At 42.2% G+C, this 19,920-nt stretch overlaps 1 protein-coding gene across 9 annotated transcripts in view; it reads left to right on the forward strand.

The window, feature by feature from the left end:
- KIAA1549L (KIAA1549 like) overlaps positions 1 to 19,920 on the forward strand; it is a 297,995-nt gene that overhangs the window by 168,452 nt on the left and 109,623 nt on the right. For all 9 annotated transcript variants that reach the window (XM_047426719.1, XM_005252848.4, NM_012194.3 and 6 more), the window contains 6 exons: positions 208 to 819; positions 3,205 to 3,320; positions 6,481 to 6,700; positions 7,549 to 7,682; positions 15,190 to 15,352; positions 17,117 to 17,176. In XM_047426719.1, coding sequence (XP_047282675.1) covers positions 208 to 819; positions 3,205 to 3,320; positions 6,481 to 6,700; positions 7,549 to 7,682; positions 15,190 to 15,352; positions 17,117 to 17,176 — 1,305 coding nt within the window. The remainder of the gene's footprint in view (positions 1 to 207; positions 820 to 3,204; positions 3,321 to 6,480; positions 6,701 to 7,548; positions 7,683 to 15,189; positions 15,353 to 17,116; positions 17,177 to 19,920) is intronic.

A 19,920-nucleotide genomic window follows, 5' to 3' on the forward strand; every position in this document is an offset into this window, starting at 1 on the left:
AACCATAGCTGTGCTGTAAGTGGCATTCTTGTTATGGTTAATCAAGTTTATGAGCCTAGAGTTGTTTTGCCTAAGTTCTGTCCACTGCAAGCCCAGATTGCAGAGACTTCACCCTAGCAAATCCATAAGTTACATCCATTCATCATCAGAACAAGTGACACGTGCATTCCAAGCCAATGACAAACTTTGTTTTTTCTCTCTTTACAGCGGACACAGTATCATCTAAGGTACAGCCAACAGCAGCAGCTGCCGTCACATTGTTTCTGAGGAAATCAAGTCCACCTGCACTGTCTGCAGCCCTGGTTGCTAAGGGCACCAGCAGCAGCCCTTTGGCCGTGGCCTCAGGACCAGCTAAGAGCAGTTCGATGACTACTCTTGCTAAAAATGTCACAAACAAGGCCGCATCTGGCCCAAAGAGGACACCAGGGGCAGTCCATACAGCCTTCCCATTCACACCAACCTACATGTATGCAAGAACAGGACATACCACGAGCACACATACAGCCATGCAAGGAAACATGGACACTGCCTCTGGCCTGTTGTCTACAACTTACCTCCCCAGGAAACCACAAGCCATGCACACCGGCCTCCCAAACCCCACCAACCTGGAGATGCCCAGAGCATCCACGCCACGCCCACTGACAGTCACGGCCGCGCTGACATCCATTACAGCCTCAGTGAAGGCCACCCGGTTGCCACCATTGCGAGCAGAAAACACAGATGCTGTCCTTCCTGCTGCATCGGCTGCAGTGGTCACGACTGGCAAAATGGCATCCAACCTGGAGTGTCAGATGTCCAGTAAGCTCCTGGTGAAGACAGGTATGAGACCACTGTTCTGATCTGAAAGCAGCAAGCCTGGCCTCAGAGATGTAACCATAATGTTTATTTTAGATCAGTGGTCCTCAACCAGGGGACATTTTTCCACCCTCCCCCAGGGACATTTGGCTATGTCTGGAGACATTTTTGGTTGTTATGCTTGATGGCTGGAGATACTACTAAAATCTGGTGGGATAGAGACTGGGGATACTGCTCAACATCTTACAATGCACAGAACAGCCCCAACAACAAAGATTTATCCAGCCTAAAACATCCATAGGGCCAAAGTTGAGAAACCATGAGCTTTAGCAAGTGTTAGAGGAGAGAGGGCCTGATGTGGCATGGATTCTAGTCCTAGGATCAGTCCTGATATCAGAAGTCCCAGGAAACCATGGTTCTGCCAGTGGGTCTAAGAATGCAAAGGTACCATTTTGCATCAATGATGTCTCACATGAATGAATGATGTGGTTTGTAAGATACAACATCTTGGGAAGTGCTACAGAGTTCAGAAAGGCTTTTGTCATGCATTTTTTCAATTAGCTGATAGCAAAAGCACAGCTTCTGCACACTATGTGGGAGCCCAGGATTTCTTTTGATGTTAGAAAGACTTTCTTGAAAAAGTGGGATGGGCAGCACCAGAATTGTGAGCAAGGATGGAATGCTGTCTTTTAAGCCCCCATTCCCCAGCTGTAGCAAAGCAGGCCTAGAATGCATGGAGAGCTTTTAATAGTGTGGCAATGTTTGCTATAAAAAAAATTAGACAAATTATTTGAAAGAGCATGCCAATGTTGAATGCTCACATCCTGCCTTCCTCCTCACCCCACAAAGAATTAAATGAAATCATATCTTGAGACATATCCTATTCTAAAATGGGAAATTATGAAATTAGGCATAACAAAAATTACAGTATCTCTCTCTGTTTCTCAAGAAATTATACCATCTGGGTTTCCACTCTCTGTCCCTGCTCCATTCCACTCTCCTCTGGGTGGCAGGCAGCCCTGGCCCCTCAGAGGCAGAAGTTGGAAACATTCTCTTCTCTGTCTTCTTCCCAGCCCCCCCACCAACCCAGCTACATCTAATCAATCACCAGTTCCTTTCACTTCTACCTCCTGGATACCCCTTCTCTCCATCCTATTTCACACTGCCACTTCCCTAGTTCACACTGTCATCATCACTCACCTAAATTTCTGTAACAACAGCCACATTTATCTCTCTGCCTTCAGAGTCCCACCTCTTCAATCTGTTCTCCAGTCTGTAGTCAAGAACCTTCTAAAATGCATTCCTTTGCTTAAAACTCATTTCCCATTGCCCTTAGGACCAAGCTTAAACTTGTATATACAGTAGTCCCCTCTTATCTGCAGGGGATCTATTCCGAGACCCCCAGTAGATGCCTGAAACTGCAGGTAGTACCAACCCCTATGTCAACTATGAATTGTCCTACTCATGCATACCTATGATAAAGCTTAATTTATAAGTTAGGTGCAGTCAAGGTCAACAACAACCAGTAATAAAATAGAACAAGTATAACAATAGACTGTAATAAAAGTGATGTGAATGTGGTCTTTCTTTCCCTCTCTTTGACTCTCTCAAAATATCTTATTGTACCATACTCACCTATTTTCAGACTGTGGTTGACTGCAGTAAATAAAACCATGGAAAGAACACTGTGGCTAAGAGGGAACTGCTGTATACTGAAATATTTTGCTTCTTTCCCCTGCGCCTTTGCGCTTGGTACTCCCTCTGCTGAGAGTGGGTGAGGGCAATCTCTTCCTCCTTGTCAGATTTCACTCTTGTGATCCTTCAGAACTTAGCTGAAGCATCAGTTCCTATGGAAATTTTCCCTGATCCCCATCCCTTTACCAAACTCAGGGCTGGGTGCTCCTCCTAGGAGCTCTGGCAGCGTCCTAGGCTTCCCTTCAAACAATACCTGTCACATTCAATCCCAAATACCTGTTCTCTGTCCTTTGTCTCCATCCCACTTGCGAGGTGGGGATGGCACCTTCCTGATCCAGGGTTGTTTGAGGCCGCAGCACCGAGCTCAGGGCCTGCACCTAAGGAGGCTGTCCATGAATGTTGTTGCAGGAATCTCATCGCATGCACTGTCGAGCCGGCTTTCAAAGTCAGAGGCAGCATCTGTCAGAAATGAAACGCCACCAGCATACCAGCTCTCTCTCTACTCGGGTCACACAAATGGCTAGGGCCTTCTTTCCTTAGGACTTTAGCGGGACCCACAGAGCTACCACCCCAGCGCACCCCCTCAATGATGGCCCTGTGCTTACCGGCTCTGCCCAGAACTTGCAGAAGGTGGTGGTTGGGAGGAGCAGAGGGCAAGTGAATGATGAGGTTTGTCGCCTTGCCTGATTGCCATGCTTCTATTTTACCCCACAGTTCTCTTTCTCACCCAAAGGAGAGTGCAGATCAGTGAATCCTTGAAGTTCAGTATCGCCAAAGGGCTCACACAGGCATTGCGGAAGGCTTTCCACCAGAACGATGTCTCAGCTCACGTAAGTGCTTTGCTTTGTAACCAAGCTAATCCATCACAGTCTGGCTCTTGGGTCTAGAATATGTTTAGATTGTTTTCCTCCTTTCTAGGGATCATAACAACACTGGCCAGAAGTAGAATCTGTCTTCACTTTGGCAACTAGCTAATGTGTAGTGGCTTGAGAAAAAGGTCAAATTTTGAGATGGAAAATGGAGACTAATTGCTTTATGTCTAGATTTATTTTTAAAGATTGGATATATTGGCCAGGTGGGTGGCTCACACCTGTAATCCTAACACTTTGGGAGGCCGAGGCAGGTGATCACTTGGGGTCAGGAGTTTGAGACCGGTCTGGGCAACATGATGAAACCCCGTCTCTACTAAAAATACAAAAATTAGCTGGGCGTGGTGGCAGGTGCCTGTAATCCCAGCTACTCGGGAGGCTGAGACAGGAGAATCGCTTGAATCCAGGATGTGGAGGTTGCAGTGAGCTGAGATCATGCCGCTGCACTCCAGCCTGGGTGACAGAGCGAGTCTCTGCCTCAAAAACACACACACAAACAAACAAACAAGCCTGGATATATTGTTTTAAACCATCCCATTATCCCATCGTTTGGGGAAAGTATTTACATTGTTCATGTAATTTTCTAGAAAACTCTCCATTGCTTTTCCCCTTATTTTCATCACTATTGTAAACAGTGATTTATTTCTGGACATTTAAAAATTATCCTGACTTGTAAATCGAGTCCGACTTTGCTTAAATTGCCCACTGCAGACAGGGAAGTAACATTTTTTCTTTTAATGCCAAGTACTGTTTAATGAGTGCTGGCTGATTTTGATGTCTTATCCAAGAGATGGAAGCTTCACTTTACATCTTTGGGTTTGATTCCAAGTTTTCAAACAGTAAATGCAGTTGGCAGTCAGTAGACTCCCATTTGCACCACTAAAAACTATTGCTGTGGCTTCTTCTTTTGATGTTCTGTCCTACAGCTGCAGTCAGCTTACTGACCCCCTCCCTCCCATCAACACCAAGGACTAGAAAGGAGATTCGGCACATACTTTATTGATCATTGTCGATCTCTTTTATATATTTCTAAAAAAGAAGAAAAAAGAAATGCATTATATGAGAGGCTTTTATGATTTCTGCACCAGAAACTTTATGGGAAGTTGAAAATGTGAATATTTCCATTTAATTGCCTGATACAATTTTCACTAATCTTCAAACATTCTCAAACTGCTTTTACAGTTTTGGTCTTTGCTGCATATCTTTACAGACCAGTGTGACAATGAGTATTTTTTTTTTTATGGATTCTGTTTTAAAAACTTAAGCACATTTTTTTGAAAGGGCATTTGATATTACCACCATAAATGGAAATCAAAATCATTTGCCACAAATAAAAGGTGATGGTAAGAATGAGAATAATGGAAACCAAACAGCTTGTTAAATTCAGGCTAGAGGTTGTTGCTTGCAGAAGGCTCTAAGGCTGAGCCTGGTATCCCTTTGTTTGTTTGTTTATTTAAAAAAGGAATTAGCAAGGGTTAGAGAGATGTTAAAAGCAAATATTCACTAAACTGAGACTTATTCCTTGGGGTCATTAGAAGGGTTGAAAGGGAACAACTTTCTCACTGAGTGATTTAGTTGATTTAGTGTTGTCTTGTGCTGTGTCCACGTTCCATGCTGAAATACCTCTTGTTCCACCTAAAATCATCTTGAGCACCATCTTCATGAAAAACTGACCGGGAGCACACAATGTGGAGGAAGCAAAGGCACACCCATCCTGTTGCAAAATCAGTTGTCTTGCTTCCTTTGGAAAATACACATGGAGATGCAAGAATATGGGGAGAAAGCAGGTGTCAAAAACTTCCTGGCCGGGCACAGTGTTTCATGCCTATAATCCCAACACTTTGGGAGGCCGAGGTGGGAGGGTCACTTGAGGCCAGCAGTTTGAGACCAGCGTGGGCAACGTAGTGAGAACTCCATCTCTACAAAACATATGTAAGTTAGCCAGGTATGGTGGCACACACCTGTAGTCCTAGCTACTCGAGAGGCTGAGGTGGGAGAAATGCTTGAGCCCAGGAGGTCAAGGCTGCAGTGAGCTGTGATCATGCCACTGTACTCCAGTCTGGGTGACAGAGCAAGACCCTGTCAAAAAAACAAAAAACAAAAAAAACAAACAAAAAAAGAAACAAAAAAAAAAAACACAAAATGAAACCCTGAGTTCCAGTTTTACAAGATGAAAAGAGTTCTGGAAATGGATAGTAGTAATAGCTGTACACCATTATGAATGTGTTTAATAGCACTGAACAGCACACTAAAAAATAGTTAAGATGGTAGATTGTATATTGTGTGTTTTTTACCACAATAAAAACTTGGAAAAAAAGGAGCTGCATACATATACGTATGTGTATATATGTTACTCTTTTCTCTGTTTTTCAAATATACAGATTCTGTAATAAACATTATATTTAATATATAAAAACCAAAACAAATTAAAAAAAAACCCTGAACTGTAAATATGTAACACCAAGAAAGAAAAAAAGAAAAAATAAGAATAAAATCTAAAGCCTGAAAATCTTGCAGTTGAGACAGAAAGAGCTCAGACCATCAGTGTCCCCTAGGATTCAGCTGTCAGAGAAATTCTCTGGTGCATCCTGCCTTGGTCTTGAACCAATTTACAAGCCAAGGACAGAGTCTGAACAAGTCTTCTCTCTGCTTCTAGAAAGAGGAATTCACTTTACTTACTCCTTGACCGGTGCCCCCAAGGTTCCCCCACTTAATCTATCATTTCTACCTTTTAATTCTCATAAATGATGAGAAATATAAGAAAGTGATTTTCCCCAGCATTTCATTCACTGAAAATCTCTTTGAACTACTCTCTCCTCCCTACCTTTTTGGTAATAATAATTGATGGTCACAGGATTATACTGAGGCACTTAATAAAAAAGATACAGATTTAATTCTATACCATGAAGGTTTGATGTAAATTATATTTTGTTGTTTTTGTGATATTTTGAGACTTGCCAATCCAAACTATGCTTTATAGAATTGTTAAGAATATTTGTTGAACGAGAACATTCTATTCTCCAGTCTTGTTTCTAACAGCCGTGGTTCTAAGAAATACCAGGAAGAACTTAAAGTGCTGTGGAAATAAACAATGGGTTTTGTGGGTCCATTTGTTTTGTAGGTGGACATTCTGGAATATTCTCATAATGTCACAGTTGGTTATTATGCTACCAAAGGGAAGTTGGTGTATTTGCCTGCTGTGGTGATCGAAATGCTGGGTGTGTATGGAGTCAGCAACGTCACTGCAGACCTGAAGCAACACACCCCACACTTACAGTCTGTGGCAGTACTTGCCTCCCCATGGAATCCCCAGCCTGCAGGCTACTTCCAGCTAAAAACAGGCAAGTGACTCGGAAGGAAGGGATTTTCATCCATTCTTGGGTTCAGGGCCAGTACCAAGTGGACACCTGTTTAAAAGCTCCATTGCTAGCTGCTGTGTCATTTTTTAGTCCCTGTGAACCTTCTTCAAAGGGTCCTGCTAATCAAATGTCCCAGTTCCTTGCACATCAGCCTAAACTCTTCCAACCCTAGATTTGTTAGAAATGTTCTATCATAGGAGCCTTCCTTCCCAATTTACAAACTTAGTACTTTTGAGCTCCAGGTACTATATTTTATATTTCTTTCTATATTATCAGTGGGTACTAATAATAGTTGAACATGCAAAAAAAAAAAATCTGTGGTTTGGAGTAATGGATTCCAGATACCACTGAATGAGAATCTCTGAGTTTAGGTCTTCGAATATATTTTTTTCAAACTCTCTGGTGATTTCGGGTCTGCAAAGTTTGTAACCTACAAGAGTGGAGGAACTCTTAAAATCGAAACACTCAATCAACTTAGCAATGGAGGTCAATGATTTTCTTCCCTCCAAAGAAATAGAAGGCATGATCTCTCTTAGATTGTGATTTGTCAGTCTTTGAGCAGATGTCTACATATTCCAATCAAATAAAATCATAAAATCTTTTGCATTGGAGGGAATCTCTGGTTCGATCGTGCTTTTAATTCTTCTGTGTTATATAATTCATCTTAGGAGCCACTTTCAAAACTACAAGCAAACCTTGTCTGGCCTTATTATTTATTTGCCTAATTCCTCTCATCTAAAATCGTGCTGTTTTATATTATGACCACTGTTAAATCCAAGGAACTGAGACATGGAGCTTTAGTGAGCACTGATTGACTTCTCTCATTCTAGTGCTGCAGTTTGTGAGCCAAGCGGACAACATACAGTCCTGCAAGTTTGCTCAGACAATGGAACAGAGGCTGCAGAAGGCATTCCAGGATGCCGAGAGGAAAGTCCTGAATACCAAAAGCAACTTGACAATTCAGGTAGGGAGGAAGGTGCTTCAGGCTGTGTAGTTGACAGACAACCACAATGCAGAGTCTGGCAAGAAATGACTTGGGTCTTCCCTTTCAGAGCTACCATGTATAAATGTAACTTTGTACTTCAGACATTGGTGAGGATGTCTGGGGTATGGCCATGACAGGAGGGATGCTGTGTCACTGTGCACCTATTGTGGTTTGGGGTTTTATATTTCTTTCCCCATGGGATGCTTTCTGAGGCCTTTCTAATACATTTATTATTTTGAAAAGTTGAACTAGGCTGTACTGTATATGTCAAATTTCTAATATAAGATGAATAAATGAATCAATTCTAAGTAGCTAAGTCACCAAGATTTGCCCGTTCTGTGATTTTATGCATTGGCTTATATTCCAGTTGCCTTAGTTTAGACACATGCCAACACACACACACACACACACACACACACACACACACACACACACACACACATGCGTTTTATATTGAAGTCTTTACTATGTGCCAGGAACTGTGCTAAGTGTTTTACAAATATTTTCCTACCTAATACTTAAGACATCCTTCTGAGGTATTCTTACTCCCATTTCACAGAAGAGAGAACTGAGAGGCTAAGAAACTTCCAGAAGGTCACACGGTAAAGAATGGAAGAAGGACCTGAGTCAATCCACTACACCATACTCACGTCAATGCAGTGTAGAAATGGGGTCCTTAATGAAGCCTGTGTCAAACAACAGAATTCTTTCCCAGGGAAAATCCCTGGGAAATGAATCATGGCATGAGTGAGGAGGAAGTAAGAGATGAGGTTAGAAGCTACAGGAGTCTTAAGAGTTAAAGGGTGATGGGAAAGCGTCCCCTGTAGGGGCTGCTTTTATTGGGGGACAGGATTTTAGATGCTCTAAACAGCCCTTTTAAACATTTAAACAGCCCTTTTAAAAATTTTTTAATTATTTGTAGAGATGGAGTCTCCATATATTGCCTAAGCTGGTCTCTAACTCCTGGGCTCAAGCAATTCTCCCTTCGCGGCCTCCCGAAGTGCTGGGATTACAGGCATGAACCACCACACCTGGTGCGCTGTATTTTTTTTTTTTTTTGCAACTACGTAGATATCATCCCACTAAAGACAGATGCTTCTTAATGATACTCATCTAGCCCCCAATTAACTCTTCTTTTCAATGTCTCTGTTTTGACTACTGAACTATAAAGCCTTTGTAATTAGACCCAGTGGTTTTAAAATGGACATTTAGCGTAAGTGAATTATCAGCAAAGCCAATATGATGTAGAAAGCATACAATTTAACTTGAGTGAGCAGCTTTCCTGTTCTAGATTCATCCAAAGTGTAGATGGAAGTATCTCATTATGATTTGGTTCATGTTAGACGAAGATCTAAAAATGTGTCACAGACTGAAGATTTATGTAAGGAGTGTGACTCAGCTCTCTTGTGGGAACTCTTTTTCTTTCTGATTGGATTTGTGATCCTCACAGGTGCATGAGCCTAGTTAGATCTTGGCAGCACAGCATACTTTAATTGTATTCAGGAAGCACAGACTTATTGAGTATCTGCTATTTATCAGGCACTGGGAAGGACACCAAGATAAGCTGCCCTTGGCCTTAAGAAGCCTCCTTGTGTTGTTGTATGGTAGTTGTGGGCCATTAGAGGAAACTTTATAAATCAAGTAACAAACCTTCCTTGGAAAAGATGATAGGAGGTGATTCGAAGATTACATCTAAATAGATTTTAGATGCTCTTGAACATTTAAACAGCTCTTGAAATGAATGGATAATTGGATGAATTGTTTTTTATTAACCCTGTTTCCATTTTTGCCTCGGCTGACAGGAATCCCAGAGCCAAATTTGTTGCCTGGATTTAGTAACCCTCAGGGCCCCTATATTATGCATGGTAACTTCATGCTGACATTCCCTTGGGGCTGTCTTTCACCAGGGCCTGTTTTTGTAATTAATAACTTTTCCTTTTATTGGATAATATATAATTTGTAAGACACCTTGAATCCTTTGTAGAATAAGACCATGTAAATATTTAATTAATTTGCTCAGATAGTCATTGAAAAATCGACTTAACAACTTGTATAGGTTTGGTATTAGGGACTAGATTACAGTGGACTCAATTAGGACGTGTTTGGTTGCCAGGGACAGAATCTAAGCTGATGAAGCTTAAGCAAAAAGAGGAAGTGATTGGCTCATGTAACTGAAAGGTTCACATTTATTCCGACACAGTTGTATCCAGGTGATTATTTGATTTCATCAAGCTCTCTCTTCCTGTCTTCGTTGGCTTTGCTCTGCACGGGCATTGTCCGTGGCTCCCATGGGGTGGCCGCTCACAACCCCAGGTTTGTCTCATCCTTGTTGCTCACAGTCTTGTGGAACCAAAGTGCCTTTCCTGGTGTCATTCCAGTAAAATGCCTGGGATTAGCTCTCATTGAACCTACTGTGCCCTTTCTGGGCCAAGGAGGTTAAATGTCCCAATGAACTAGGCCTGACTACTCCTGAAACTTGGGTGGGGCAGCCCCATCCAGAACACATGAGCAAAGAGGAGAAATGGTTCCCTGAGGAAAATTGTGATGCTATCAAGAAGGGAGGATGGATGCTGGGTAGGCAAACAACAGCTTTCTGTTCCATCAGCCTATAGGTCTTCTTAGCTAAATGAATCATGGCATGAGTGAGGGGTAAGTAAGAGATGAGGTTAGAGGCTACAGGAATCTAAGAGTTAAAGAGTGACAGGAAAGTGTTCCCTGTAGGGACTGCTTCTATTGGGGGACAGGGCATGAATTTCAGGGATCAGTGCCATGACTTTGAACCCGTAGGCCTCTTATTTTTGGAGCTAGTCTTAAGTATACATCAAGAATGACCTCACTTTTCTTACCTAATTTTTCTTACAATTTTTCTTACTAATTTTTCTTACAAAAAATTAGTATATTAAAGAAGACAAATAAATGGAAAGACTTCCTGTGCTTATGGATTGGGAGACTTTATATTGATTGTTACTACCCAAAGGAATCTGAAGATTTAATGTAATTCCTATCAAAATCCCAGTGACTGTTTTTCACAGAAATAGAAAAATTAGCCCTAAAATTCCCATGGAATCTCAAGGGGCTTTGAGTAGCCAAAGCAATCTTGAAAAGGAAGAACGAAGTTGGAGGTCCCATACTTCCTGATTTCAAAACTTACTACAAAGCTATGGTAATCAAAACAATGTAGTGCTGGCATAAAGGCAGACATCTAGACAAATGGAATAGAAGAGAGAGCCCAGAAATAAACCCTCTTGTATATGGTCAAATGTTTTTTGACAGAGGTGCCAAGGCTATTCAATGGGGAAAGGACAGTCTTTTTAACACATTAGGAAAACTGAATATTCACATGTGATCCCAAAAGAATGAAGTTGGATCCTTACTTAACACCATCTACCAAAAGTAACTCCAAAGGGATCAAAGATCTAAATGTAATATCTAAAACCGTAGGACTTTTATGGGAAAACATAGGGGAAAAACTTCATGACACACAGTATTTGGCAATGATTTGTTGGACATGACACAGGCAAACAAAAGAAAAAGTAGGCAAATTAGACTTCATCAAAATTAAAAACTTCTGTGCATCAAAAAACACTACCAGCAGAGTGAAAAAGCAATTCATAGAATAAATGAAAAATATTTGCAAATCATATATCTGGTAAGTAGTTAATATTCAGAATATATAGAGAATATACCTACAACTCAATAATAAAAACAAACAAAAAAATCCAATTAAGAAATGAGCAAAGGACTTGAATAGACATTTCTCCAAAAAAGATATACAGATGACTTAAGCACATGACAAGATGCTCTGCGTCACTAATCATTAAAGAAATGCAAATCAAAACCATGAGATACCTATTCACATCTATTAGGATGGCTATTCTCAAAAAATGGAAAATACTAAGTGTTGGTGATAACGTGGAGAAATTGGAACCCTAATGCATTGCTAGTGGGAATGTCAAATAGTGCATCCCCCGTGGAAGGCAGCATGGTGGTTTCTTAAATAACTAAACATAGAATTACCATATGGTTCAGCACTTTCATTTCTCATTATATACCAAAAAGAATTAAAAGTAGGGACTCAAACAGGTATTTATACACCCATGTTCATAGTAGCATTATTCACAACAGCCAAAAGGTGGAAGCAACCCATGTGTCCATTAATGAATGAGTGGATAATCAAATGGCATATATACATACAATGGAATATTATTCAGCCTTTAAAAATGAAGGAAATAATGGATGATTGGAATGCAGAAAAATTTTAAAAAGGAAATTCTGATGCATGCTACAACAGGGATGAACCTTGAGGACGTTTTGCTAAGTGAAATAAGCCAGCCACAGAAGGACAAATACTATATGATTTCTCTTATAAAAGATATCTAGAGTTGTCAAATTAATAAGTGATTCCACTTATAAGAGGTATCTAGAAAGTAGAATGGTGGCTGCCAGGGGTTGTGAGGAGGGAGAAATTGGGAGTTGTTTAGTGGGTACAGAGTTTCTGTTTGGGATGATAAAGAGGTTCTAAAGATGGATGGTGGTGATGGTTGTACAACAGTGTGAATGCACTTAATGCCACTGAACGATACACTTAAAATGGTTAAATTTTATATGTGTGTTTTACCACAATAAAAAAATAATTATAACTTAACTGGTCAAGTATAGTATATACAGAGGCACCCACATTGCAAACTTTGTAGGCTTCCTCGGGCTCCAGTGGGATTTGGGTTTTTGTTTCATTTTGTTTTAGAGGCAGGGTCTGGCTTTGTCTCCCAGGCTGGGGTGCAGTGGCACAATCATGGCTCACTGCAGCCTCGGACTCCTGGGCTCAGGTGATCCTCCTGCCTCAGCCTCCCAAGCAGCTGGGACTAAAGGCATGCAACATCATGCTTGGCAATTTTTTTCTATTTTTTGTAGAGACAGGATTTTGCCATGTTGCCCAGGCTGGCCTTGAACTCCTGGGCTCAAGTGATCCATCTGCCTTGGCTTCCCAAAGTGCTGGGATTACTGGCATGAGCCACCACACCCAGCCAGGATGTGGTTTTGTTGAGAGGTAAAAATAGAATGTTCACAATAGAGATAAAGATTGAAAAGTTTTTTTTTTTTTAGTTATTATTTTTTTAGGTGGCCGTATGGTGAAGTTTTTTAAATTGTTCAGAAAGAAATGCCTTTCTTTTTGGTACCTTGGGAAAGAATATGCTTAGCCACAGGTATTCATGCCTTGGGGAAGAGGCTAAACCACATTCCAAAAATACTTCCATAGAAGAGAGTCAGAGTTGAATGGACATACTGATTCAGTTTATTGTTAGTCATGGGAATATAGGCTCTGGATTAAACAATTAAAAAGGGACCAGTTATGGTGGCTCACAATTGTAATCCCAGTACTTTGGGAGGCTGGGGTGGGTGGATCATTTGAGCCCAGGAATTTGAGACTAGCCTGGGCAACAAAGTGAGATACTGTTTCTACAAAAATGAAATAAATTAGCTGGGACTGGTGGCGTGTGCCTGTAGTCCCAGCTATCCAGGAGGCTGAGGTGGGAGGATCGCTTAAGCCTAGGAGTTCAAGGGTTCAGTGAGCTACAATAAGGTCACTGCACTTCAGTCTGCGGGACAGAGTGAGACCCTGTCTCTAAATAGGAAGGGGCGGGGTAGAGAAAAGGCGGGGGAGAGAGAGAGAGATCGATTGATCAATCTTCCACTTATGGGAAAAAGTGGGAAATAAAATGAAGAGCTCTTCCCAATAGTTTCCTGGGTGATGGATTTCCTAAAAACCCTGACTTGATCATTACACATTCTATGCGTGTAAGAAAATATCACATGTACTGCCTACATATAGATAAATATTATGTATCATTTTTTAAAGTCTGTAAAAAAATTTTTTTAATAGGAAGGTGGCAGAGATGTTAATATGTGAACACCCAAAGGTCTGGGAAAGACAGGGTGTTAGTCAGTGTCCTGACAGGAAAAGGAGGCTGCATTCAAATGAAGGTGGCTTTGTAGAAAGAAGAGTGGGCAGGCTCTGGGCAAACCGCAGGAGCAGTACGGTACCCAAGGCTCTAACAGCTGGGACCCGATGGGGTGAGTGCGGGGTTCGAGGTTCAGCTGCCTGATGGGAGTGAGCTTTGACCCCGTGAGGAGGGAGTCCTCAGCATCAATACTTTGACCTCACCCTCCTCCCTCTCTCCCATATCCTCCCGAAGGCAGTGGAGCCCACTGGGGTTGTCCACAAGGATCTGCCTCCAGGGGCACCGGACAGGGCAGAGAGGGTGGGTGGCAGGAGGGTCTGGAGGGAGAAGGGAAGGCACGCAGCACAGAAATTCACAAAAAAAGGCCTCACCAAGTTGAATGACTTCCTACTAACGATGCTTTTCAAATCTCATCTGTAGGATATTTTTGTTCATACATTGACCCAGAAAGCTTCATTTTCCAGCAACTGAAAAACTAGCTTCGACAAAATGTGAAAAGAAAACCGTGCCATCTCATAGGATGTTTTACACATTCAATGTTGAATTAATAGACCACAAGGAAATGTAATTGCTCTGTAAAGAACATACTCTATATTTCTGAATTCCTTTTTCTTTTCTTTTTTTTTTTTTTTGAAGAATCTTGCTCTGTCTCCCAGGCTGGAGTGCAGTGGTGCAATCTCGGCTGACTGCAGCCTCTGCCTACTGGGTTCAAGCGATTCTCCTGTCTCAGCCTTCTGAGTAGCTGGGATTACAGGCACATGCCACCATGCCCGGCTAATTTTTGTATTTTTTTTTAGTAGAGATGGGGTTTCGCTATGTTGGCCAGGCTGGTCTTGAACTCCCAACCTCAGGTGATCTGCCTACGTTGGCCTCCCAAAGTGCTGGGATTACAGGTGTGAGCCACCGTGCCCGGCCTCTGAATTCCTTTTCTAATTAGGTTCTGTCGCTCTGCCCGTGACCAGACTGGTTTTCAGCTCTGTTGGCTCCTGGTCCTTTCAACTTTCAAATTCCCTGAAAGTTTGACTCAGGCTTTCTCTATCTGAGCAGTTGAGCCCTCCTTCAATGTAACATTCCAATGCTCTATTTTATATTTTCAGAATCACAAAAGTAACCTGAGACTATTTAGCCCAGGAAAAGATACACATACCAGTGATTAAGAACCTGGAGTCAAATCACCTGGGTTCAAATCCTGAGTCTATCCTTTATTAGCTGTGTGACCTCGGGTTGGTCCCTTGATCATTCTGGGCCTCGGTTTCCTCATCTGTGAAAGGGCGTCATCACTGGATACATCTCCCAGGGTTGTGGTAAGGAGTAAATGAGATGACGTGCCCTTAGCACCCTGCCTGGCACACAGCAAGCAATCAGAAATGATGACGGTTACTCTTGTCTGTTCCTTGCTGTTTCCCTGACCCCCTTTCATTCCTTCCCTCAACTCCTGCTTAGCCTCCCCCTCCCATGGCCTCCATGAAACACACCCTGGTCTTATTTGGCCTGTCTCCCTCCCCTTTTCTCCTGTGTTGATTCAGATTGTGAGCACGTCCAATGCCTCCCAGGCAGTCACCTTGGTGTACGTCGTGGGCAATCAGAGCACATTCCTCAACGGCACCGTCGCCAGCAGCCTCCTCAGCCAGCTCTCGGCTGAGCTGGTGGGATTCTACCTCACCTATCCGCCGCTAACCATTGCTGAACGTGAGTATGGCCATGCCTATGGGGACCCCAGTGTTTCCCCTGTGGCCTTTCTCCATTTAGCAAACATTTATAGTGCCAGGCCACATACTACCACCTTTATCATAAAGTGACAGCTAAAATATGTGATGGATTAAGGTGACAGCTAAATATGGATTAAGGAGGCAGATGGATTAAGGTGACAGCTAAAATATGTGATGGACTAAGAATTGATGAAAAGTTTAGTGTACATCAAAGAAAGCACTTGCTAGTTGCCTTCGTCCTTTGCATTTCTCTTATCTCATTTAATCCTCAGACCTGCCCTATAAGACAGATGCAAAATTAGCCCCATTTTGCAGAGGAGAAAACTGAAGCTCTAAGAGGTTTCACAAGATACCCACTCTCACTTAGCTAGTGAGCCATGGGACCTGGGTTTTGAACCCAAGCAGTCTGCCTTCTGAGCTTACAATTCTGCCTGCTAGGGCAACCGATCTCTGAGCAATCTGGGTTGCTATGGTTTTTCTCCCACTTAGGCCATCAGCAAACGTTCCCAGACCTTGAGGCTCGGTCCTGCCTCCAGATATCATAATATAACTCATTTGCAGTCCATGGTGTGACTTCACTTGCTGAGGTCCCCGTAGTCTTGTGGCCTCATCTTTTTCTAATGTTTCAGTTACATTATCCTCATTACCATGCAACAGGCATAGATTTTGAAGATGCAGCAGGTTACATTTTGTATCCAAATGTTTATTTGGTAGCCAAAGGATGGAAAGGTTTGTACTCCTAAATTTAAACATTCTTACATTTCACAAGGTCACTGGGCAAGTTTATTTTTTAATACATATTAGCAAAATTGTCTCATAATTTCCTTCTGTAGTTGTTTTTGATACTGTAAATAAACAAGATAATACGCGTGAATGTACTTAGCACATGGCAGCCACTCAGAATTTTTTTCAAATGTTTGTTTAATGGCAAGCTTTTGTAAACGTCCACATAATAAGGAAAGATGACTCTGGGTTTTAGGGAAAAGATGATGTCATAAAAGATGGCATTATGTCACATGTCAGCATGTGAAGACTTTATTTTCCATCATCCTTTTATTTCTGAAAACAACTACGATTTATTGAGCACTAACCATATGCCAGGCAATGTACAAATCCCTTTGCATGTATCAACTCCAGTAGGCCCCATACTTGTAAAGAAATATGGGCCTTTTGTTACAAGCATGTGGCTACTAAACTTAAGTCCTTGACACTGAAAAAATCTATCCAGGAGATAATCATTCCTAACAATGTTAGTGATGGTCAGATGATTTTTAAAGAGAAAGCTACAGCAAAGACAGGTTCCTGCTGTGGGTCTTGATAAAGAAGGTGTTCTGTTTGAACAGAAGATTTTGATGAAAAAACGGAAAGGGCAGAAACTCACAAATCCTAGAAAACTCTTCATCTACAAGTTGGACCTTTATTGAGTCTTTTAGTTTTCTGAACAGTGAGATAGTTTTGGTTCATATGTCCTAGGATCCCTAAGAATCACAAAGCAGGATTTAGCCGCTTGCTATTTTGTCACTTATACCTGTTTTCCTTAATGAAATTTCAAATAAGCCAGGTGCCATAATGCATGTTATAGTCCAGCTACTCAGGAGGCTTAGGTGCAAGGACCACTTGAGCCCAGGAGTTCAAGAACAGCCTGGGCAACATATCAAGATCCCATCTCAAATATAACTAAATAAATGAAACGAAACAAATCAAACCTATAAAAGTAATTGGGTATGTTTCTTATTTGTTTTAGCACTGGAATATCCCAACCTTGACATATCAGAAACAACCAGAGACTATTGGGTAATTACAGGTAATCTCTTATTTTGTAATTTCCCCTCTTCATGCTGTCAGATTGATTTATTTTTTTTAAACTGTAGGCCATTCATTAATAAGATTGGCACTTTTCTTTGCTCCTGTCTTATAAGTCAGGAAGTTACTTCTACAGGACCAGAAGTGAATGGGGTAAGCTGAGATGAGAAAAGACATCACACTGAAGATGAATATTAGCTAAACAATTCAAAACAGCTTTCAAGTCCTCTTTTGTAAAAAGTGACCCTATCAGAAGTTACAATGTTAACCGAAGAAGGTCTAGGGCATCAGTTTATAGTGAATGGTTATCAGTTTATAGATGGAAAGCCTTTTTGGACTGCCCTGCAAAACCCAAATTAAAGTTAGAGGAAGGCCGGGCATGCACTTGCGTCTCTCCTCTGGCACAACATGTACCCAGACCAATCCTGGCAGGTCTTGACAGTGAGAGTGTTTGGAAATAGAAAGGGGTTCTTTTGGTGGCATTTTCTCTTTTGTTCCTTGACATTTTCCTGTGGATCTTTATGGAACAGCAAAAAAGTTCTTCTTTGTGTTTTTCAAAAGCCAGACAGTAGTTTCGGGATTGAGAGCTGAAGAACAGATGTTTGTAGGAGGAAAAGTGGCCAGCCTAGCCAGGAAGGAGAGGAACAGGAGGAGAAGTATATGAGTCTACTGGCACTGCTATAAGCAAGTGCCACAGACTGGGTGGCTTCAACAACAGACATTTATCTGCTCTCAATCCTGGAGACTAGAAGTCTAAAGCCAAGGTGTTACAGGATTGGCTTCTTCGGAGACCTCTCTCCTTGGTTTAGAGATGGTCATCTTCCCCCTGTGTCTTCACATGCCCTTCCCTCTGGGTCTGTCTGTATCCTAATCTCTTCTTATAAGGACACCATCATATTGAATTAGGGCTCCCCAGTATGACCTCATTTTAACTTCATTTCCTCTTTTTTTTTTTTTTTTTGAGATAGAGTTTCGTTCTCGTGGCTCAGGCTGGAGTGCAATGACGCGGTCTCGGCTCACTGCAACCTCCACCTCCTGGGTTCAAGCAATTCTCCTGCCTCAGCCTCCCAAGTAGCTGGGATTACAGGCACACACCACCATAACCAGCTAATTTTTTTGTATTTTTAGTAGAGATGGGGTTTCACCATGTTGGCCAGGCTGGTCTCGAACTCCTGACCTCAGCCGATCTGCCCGCCTTGGCCTCCCAAAGTACTGGGATTACAGGTGTGAGCCGCTGTGCCTGGCCTAACTTCATTACCTCTTTAAAGGACCTGTCTCCAAATACAGTCACGTTCTGAGGTACTTGGGGTTAGGGCTTCAAAATAGGAATCTGGGGGGACAGGCCGGGTGTGATGGCTCACCCCTGTAATCCCAGAACTTTGGGAGGCTGAGACAGTTGGATTGCTTGAGGTCAGGAGTTCAAAACCAGCCTAACCAACATATCTAGTAAAAATACAAAAAAAAATTAGCCTGGCCTGGTGGCAGGTGCCTGTAATCCCAGCTATTTGGGAGGCTGAGGCAGGAGAATCACTTGAAACCAGGAGGCGGAGGTTGTAGTGAGTCAAGATCATGCCACTGCACTCCAGCCTGGGCAACAGAGTGAGACCGTGTCTCAAAAAAAAAAAAAAAAAAAAGAATTGGAAGTGGGGGGACACACGTCAGCCTGTAACAGGGTGGAGGAAAATCCTGCACATCATGGAAGATGTGCCTGGGTAAGCAGCCTGGTCCCAAACCTCCCCTCTGTCCTCTCCCATCCCCTCTCTCACTTGCGGTCCCAAGCAAGCAGCAGATGGGCTGCTGCCTAAAATACTAAGGACTGTACACCCCTGCTGGATGAAGCCTGCTCAAGAACTCTTCTAAATTGCAGAACATTGCATTTCTTTCCCTCTGCTGCAGAGCCATCGGTATGCAGAAATCATTTTACCTGCTAAGAAGGCAAACAAAAAAACCAACCCACCAGAGTTTATGCCCAAGAGAGAAACAGTGCTAACCCAGCAACACATTTTTGGAGCTAGTGGCTTATGTAACATTTACAAAATCATGTTTTCTTTACAAGGAATGGTGTTTTTTTTAACATGGAGATATTCCTCCCTTCTATTAACTTTAAGGTTTACATTAAATGATAACTCATTCACTCTTCACCACAGGCTGTCCTTGACAACCTCTTGTGTCATCTTTTCTTCATCTACCCGTGTCTTGCCGTGCCTCTATTTTGGTAACATAACCTTAATCAAAAGCTCCATTCCAGGTCTTTTTTTCAGGACTCTCCTCAGACTTAGCCTTCTACCCACTCACTTATGAAACCCTTATTTGTTATTGCTGTTGGTGTTCAGAATAAACAGTGGCTTCCATCACTGTGTTTAGGGCTAGCTGGATCAGTTGGTTAGTGCTTGGGAAGGGCTGGAACCAGGTCTTAGGATGATCATCCTGCCTTCCCTTTGACCTGTGACCACCTTCTGAACCCCTGGGTAGCCACCAACCAACCTGCCCCATAATTTACCAAAAGGGTAGAGGATAGGGACCTGTGAGGCTTTGTTCAGCCTTTACTCCCAGACATGCATCACAGGCTTTCTGTCTTCTGCTCATTTCTAACAGCCAAGAGGATTTGGAGCAAATTCTCTTTTCTATAGTTTGTATTATAAAAGCCTGACATGTTTTCATCTGTTTTCCAACTATTAAATAGGTTTTTGCAAACTGCACATACTTCTCCTGCCTCAGAGGGTGGGTCCCTTCTTGATGGAAAAT

The sequence above is a fragment of the Homo sapiens genome, chromosome 11 (assembly GCF_000001405.40).
Source record: "Homo sapiens chromosome 11, GRCh38.p14 Primary Assembly".
NCBI lineage: Eukaryota > Metazoa > Chordata > Mammalia > Primates > Hominidae > Homo > Homo sapiens.